General features: G+C 36.3%; 1 protein-coding gene across 15 annotated transcripts in view; it reads left to right on the forward strand.

The window, feature by feature from the left end:
- ADK (adenosine kinase) overlaps window positions 1-4,801 on the forward strand; it is a 558,070-nt gene that overhangs the window by 350,476 nt on the left and 202,793 nt on the right. The gene's annotated exons all lie outside the window — the stretch shown is intronic.

Consider the following 4,801-nt stretch of genomic DNA (forward strand, 5'->3'; position numbering starts at 1 on the left):
ATGATAGAATGTGAGTGAACCTCAATATCAAGAAAATGGACGAAGCCAGACATAAAGGATCACATATTGTATGATTCCATTTATATGAAGTATCCATAATAGGTAAATCCACAGAAACAAAAGCAGATTGGTAGTTGCCAGGGACTTGTGGGGAGTGAGGAATGGGGAATAACTTTTTAATGGGAAGATAGGGTTTCTTCTTGGGGTGCTAAAAATGTTGAGAAGTAGATAGAGGTCATGGTTGCACAACACTGTGAATATAATTTTATGTGAATTTTACCTCAATTTTTTAAAGAAATCAGTTGATTTAAGACTTAACTGAATTCTAGAATTTTTGAAATGAAGGTGTTTCTCAAGGTCATCCAACCCAATCTCCTGTTTTTCACAAATGAAAAAACTAAAACTCATCAAGATTAAATACTATATATCACTAAGATTGCCTAGTAGCTAGTCCAAACCCAGGCCAGAATTTGAGTATCTGGATTTTTAGCCCAGTGATTTCTTTTTAAACTACTGCATGCTGCTTTATTATCAATTGCTATTTTTTTTAAATTTTTTTCTGGGAACATACTACAAGTGTTAGTTTAAAAGTAAACTAACATAAAAGTAAATACAAAAAGAAGCATAGCTTCCTTTGTGCCACATATAAGAAATGTAGACATAGAGAGTGTTTATTGCAGTAATTTGCCAAAAAGCAAGCCATAGTTTAAATTAGAAGAGGTTTATTCCCTGCAGCACTTTCACAATCACAGAAGGCACCTATATTTTAAATGTAGTCTACATTGGCCTGGCTTATGAACTGCAACCTTCTATGATTGCAATTCACTTTTTTAAATTAAAAAAAATTTCAAAATAATTTTTGCATAATTATTAGCACATTCTACCACTTGATAATTTTTTGTTTCTTTCAATAGACGAAAGCACTCACATTGTAAAAAAATTATATAAATGACCTTGTCTTGTGATGAAGCTAGAAGATCTGTTTTCAACGAAACTATTCTCAGAGGCATCTAGGGAGAAACATTTGAGTCAGGTTGGGAGTTAGAGATAGAAAGCAGCAGCAATTAAAGCAAGATAATGTATTACCCCCTGGAAATTGGGTGTTATACTCAAATGTAAAGGACTTGTATTGATTTAGTGCTAGCCTCAGAAAATAGTCAGATGTCCTCATTTTAAGGGAAAACTTTAGGAAATGTAATTATATCGTTTCTTTCTCTCTAAATCTGCCTTAGTTTTCAATTTCTTTATGTAGTTCGTTACTAAGAGGAAGCTACACTCTCATTACCACACTAAATGGATTTTCTATTAATATTTATCTCCAATGTTATTTTTATCTGGGTTGTTGTTTTCATTTCTACTTAGTATGTATTTTCTTCTTTCCTTTTAGTTCAGAGGTCAACAAAGTATGGCCTATGAGCCATACGCTACAATAGCAGAGTTGAGTGGTTGCAACAGATACCATGTGGCCTGCAAACCTAAAATATTTATTGGGGCATTTTACAGAAAACACTTGCCAGTCCTTGCTTTAGTTGACCAAGTAGAAAAGGAAGAGCAGATTCTACAGAGTGAATAAATATCACCAGCAAAGGAAAGGATATAGAAAGGTACAGGATTTATACTTAGGCTAGCTAGAAACTCCATATGGTCAAAGTAAGAGTTTTGTGGATGTGAGTCATCAGAGATTATATAGGAAAGATAGATTACTGTCAGATTTAGAGGATTTTTAATGCCACTTCAGGAACTTGAGCTACTATTGTTTAGGAAATGAGTCATTTAAGGTTTTTTGAACAAAGGAGCTTTGCCAGAGCAGGAAAGTGTTGCAGTAGGGTTTACAAAGTAATGAGAGTTATCAACTAAAGTTATATTAATAGGAAGGATGACATAGTTCCAGGAGTTGCTGTATAATTAAAATTGATAGGACCTTAGACACTGCATTTTGAGACAAAGAGATAATAGTTTAAAGATTAAAACTTCATTGGGCAGAAAAATTATTATTTATACACATATTAGGGAAGTAAAGAGCTAATTTTTGTGGAAGGTTTAAGTTGATGGAGAAGGATTATAACACTACATAGGATAAGAAACAAAACTGATTACTAGTTATCAGCATTACTGAAGTTGTTCACTCATCCCAGGCACAGGCAATTTTTTACTCGCCATATTTTATCTCCAGGGCACCCAGCTGCCATCATCTTGTCAGGGTCCATCTCTTTATAAAATCCTCTTACTTTGCTCTCCAGAATCCCACCCTGATACACAGATTTACTTACGCTACCTCATACAGAATAAAGTACTTCCATTTTCCAAGTACTCTGAACCATGCTCAAGAAGGGCTTTAGCTCTCTCAAATAAAAAGACTTATCTCAAGGTGTTTAATTCAAGTAGAGCCACAGTTCCGAAACTGTGCACTGACACCCCAGGGTACTGCAGCAGACTCACAAGAGTGCTACAGGATATTTTATATCGGTTTCAAAATTAAATTTTGCTACATTCCTTTTGGATGATGTCTTTTTAAAAAATAATTACTGTTGTTGTTTTTTTTTTAATATGTACCTCCTGAAAAATCAATGCAGAATGGGAAATGAAGGTAGCAGTATCCACTTGGAATACAAGGCTTGAAGAGTGTGCAGTATTCCATAAGCATACATATTCATTTAGTAAATACAGTTAACCCTTGAACAGTGCCGGGGGTTAGAGGCACTCCCCTCCCCCGGGTAGTTGAAAATCCATGTATAACTTTTGACTCCCCAGAAACTTTACTAAGAGCCTACTGTTGACCAGAAGCCTTACCTGTAACATTAATCATTGATGAACATGTATTTTGTATATTATATGTATTATACAGTGTATTTTTGTAACACAGTAAGCTAGAGAAAAGAAAATCATAAGGAAAATATATTCATTGATATGGTTTGGCTCTGCTTCCCCACTCAAATCTCATCTCGAATTTTAATCCCCATAATCTCCACATGTTAAGGGAGGGACCTGTTAGGAGGTCATTAGATCATGGGGGCCATTTCCCCCATGCTGTTCTTGTGATAGTGAGTTCTCGTGGAACCTGTTAGTTTTATAAGTGTTTGACAGTTCCTCTCTCATGTGCCCTCTCTCGCCTGCTGCCATGTATGACATGCCTGCTTCCCCTTCTGCCATGATTGTGTTTCCTGAGGCCTCCCCAGCCATGCAGAACTGTGAGTCAATTAAACCTCTTTTCTTTATAAATTAGTCAGTCTTGGGCAGTTCTTTATAGGAGTGTGAAAACGGACTAATACATTTATTGTTCATTAAGTGGAGGTGGATCATCATAAACATCTTCATCCTAGTAGTCTTCACACTGAGCAGGCTGAAGAGGAGGGTGGGGAAGAGCTGGTCTTCCTGTCTCAGGGGTAGCAGGGGTGGAAATGATGAAGGAGGTGGAAAGGATGGCAGAAGAGGTAGGCATACTCAGTGTAACTTTACAGAAATACGTTGTAATTTCTGTCTTATTTTTCATTTCCCTAAAAATGTTACTCTAAAAATGTTTCTATATGGCACCTATCCTTCCACCTTTTGCTTTTGGTTCAGTGCCCATATCATAGAAGGGTCCATGTTGTAAAAGAAGTCAAAAGCAGTCTTTTGAATAACTGGAATCATTCTGTTATATGGTCTAATATGAATTTGTTTCTGGCACTACTTATTCTACATCTTCTTTCTCATCATCTGGCACTGATTTGGAAGCACTCATCTCCATCAAGTCATCTTCTGTTAATTCCTGTGATATGGTGTCTGTTAGCTCTTGAATTACTCCAAGATCCGTATCTTGAAACTCTTCAACTTCCCCCCACTTTTTTTTTTTTTTTTTTGCCATATCCACAGTCTCTTTTATGATATCCTTGATTGACTCTGTTGTAAATCCTATGAAGTCATATACACCATTGGACACAGTTTTTCTCTAGCATCAATTTATTTTTTTGGGCTTGATGGCTTTCATGGCTACTTTTGTAACAATGGCGTTTTCCATGATTTGATTCTTTCAGATATCCTTGGTGTTCTCTAAGTTGAGGTCTACTTCCATAGCATTGACAATCTTTTCTATAGATTACCATGTGTAATGATCTTTAAAGGTCCTTATGACCCCCTAATCTAGATCTGAATTAGAGATATTGTGTTTGATGGCAAGTAGACCACTTTGACACCTTTGTTGTTGAACTCCTGGTGTGGGTGACCCGGGGCATTGTTCAATATCTAAAGAAATTTAAAAGACAGTTCCTTACTGACAAGGTACTTCTTTGTCAGCAGAAGTTACTTCTCCTCTTATCCATTTTTTGAAGCCAAACCTCTTTCTAAAAATGTCAAGCCATCCTTTGCTGACATTAAATTCTCCAGCTTTAAATCCTTCACCTTCCTTTTGCTTTAAGTTGTCATATAATGACTTCAAGTCTTACTAGAGTATGCCTTTCTTATAGCAATTCTGTACTCACATTGTATTTTAAATATAAGATAAAAAGATATTTTACAGAAACTTCAAGGTTTTCATGCCTGCTGTCGTAGCTGCAGTGATGGCTCCACAAAGTCCTCCCCCAACCACAATGGTCCTTACACTGGATTCATCTATCTTGAAATGGTGGGCAACCACAGCTGCAGACCTCAATCTACGGTACATATCAAGCAAGTCAGCTTTTTTTTGTAATGATTTTTCTCTGCTTCTTGGGAGCACTTCCAGCATCACTAGTGACATTTCATATGGGTCCCATGGTGATGTTCAAGATTTACAGTATTGCACTAAACATGATGAAAAATAATTCAAGAACCATGAGAGATCACT

Source organism: Homo sapiens, chromosome 10, assembly GCF_000001405.40.
Source record: "Homo sapiens chromosome 10, GRCh38.p14 Primary Assembly".
In the NCBI taxonomy this organism is placed as follows: Eukaryota; Metazoa; Chordata; class Mammalia; order Primates; family Hominidae; genus Homo; species Homo sapiens.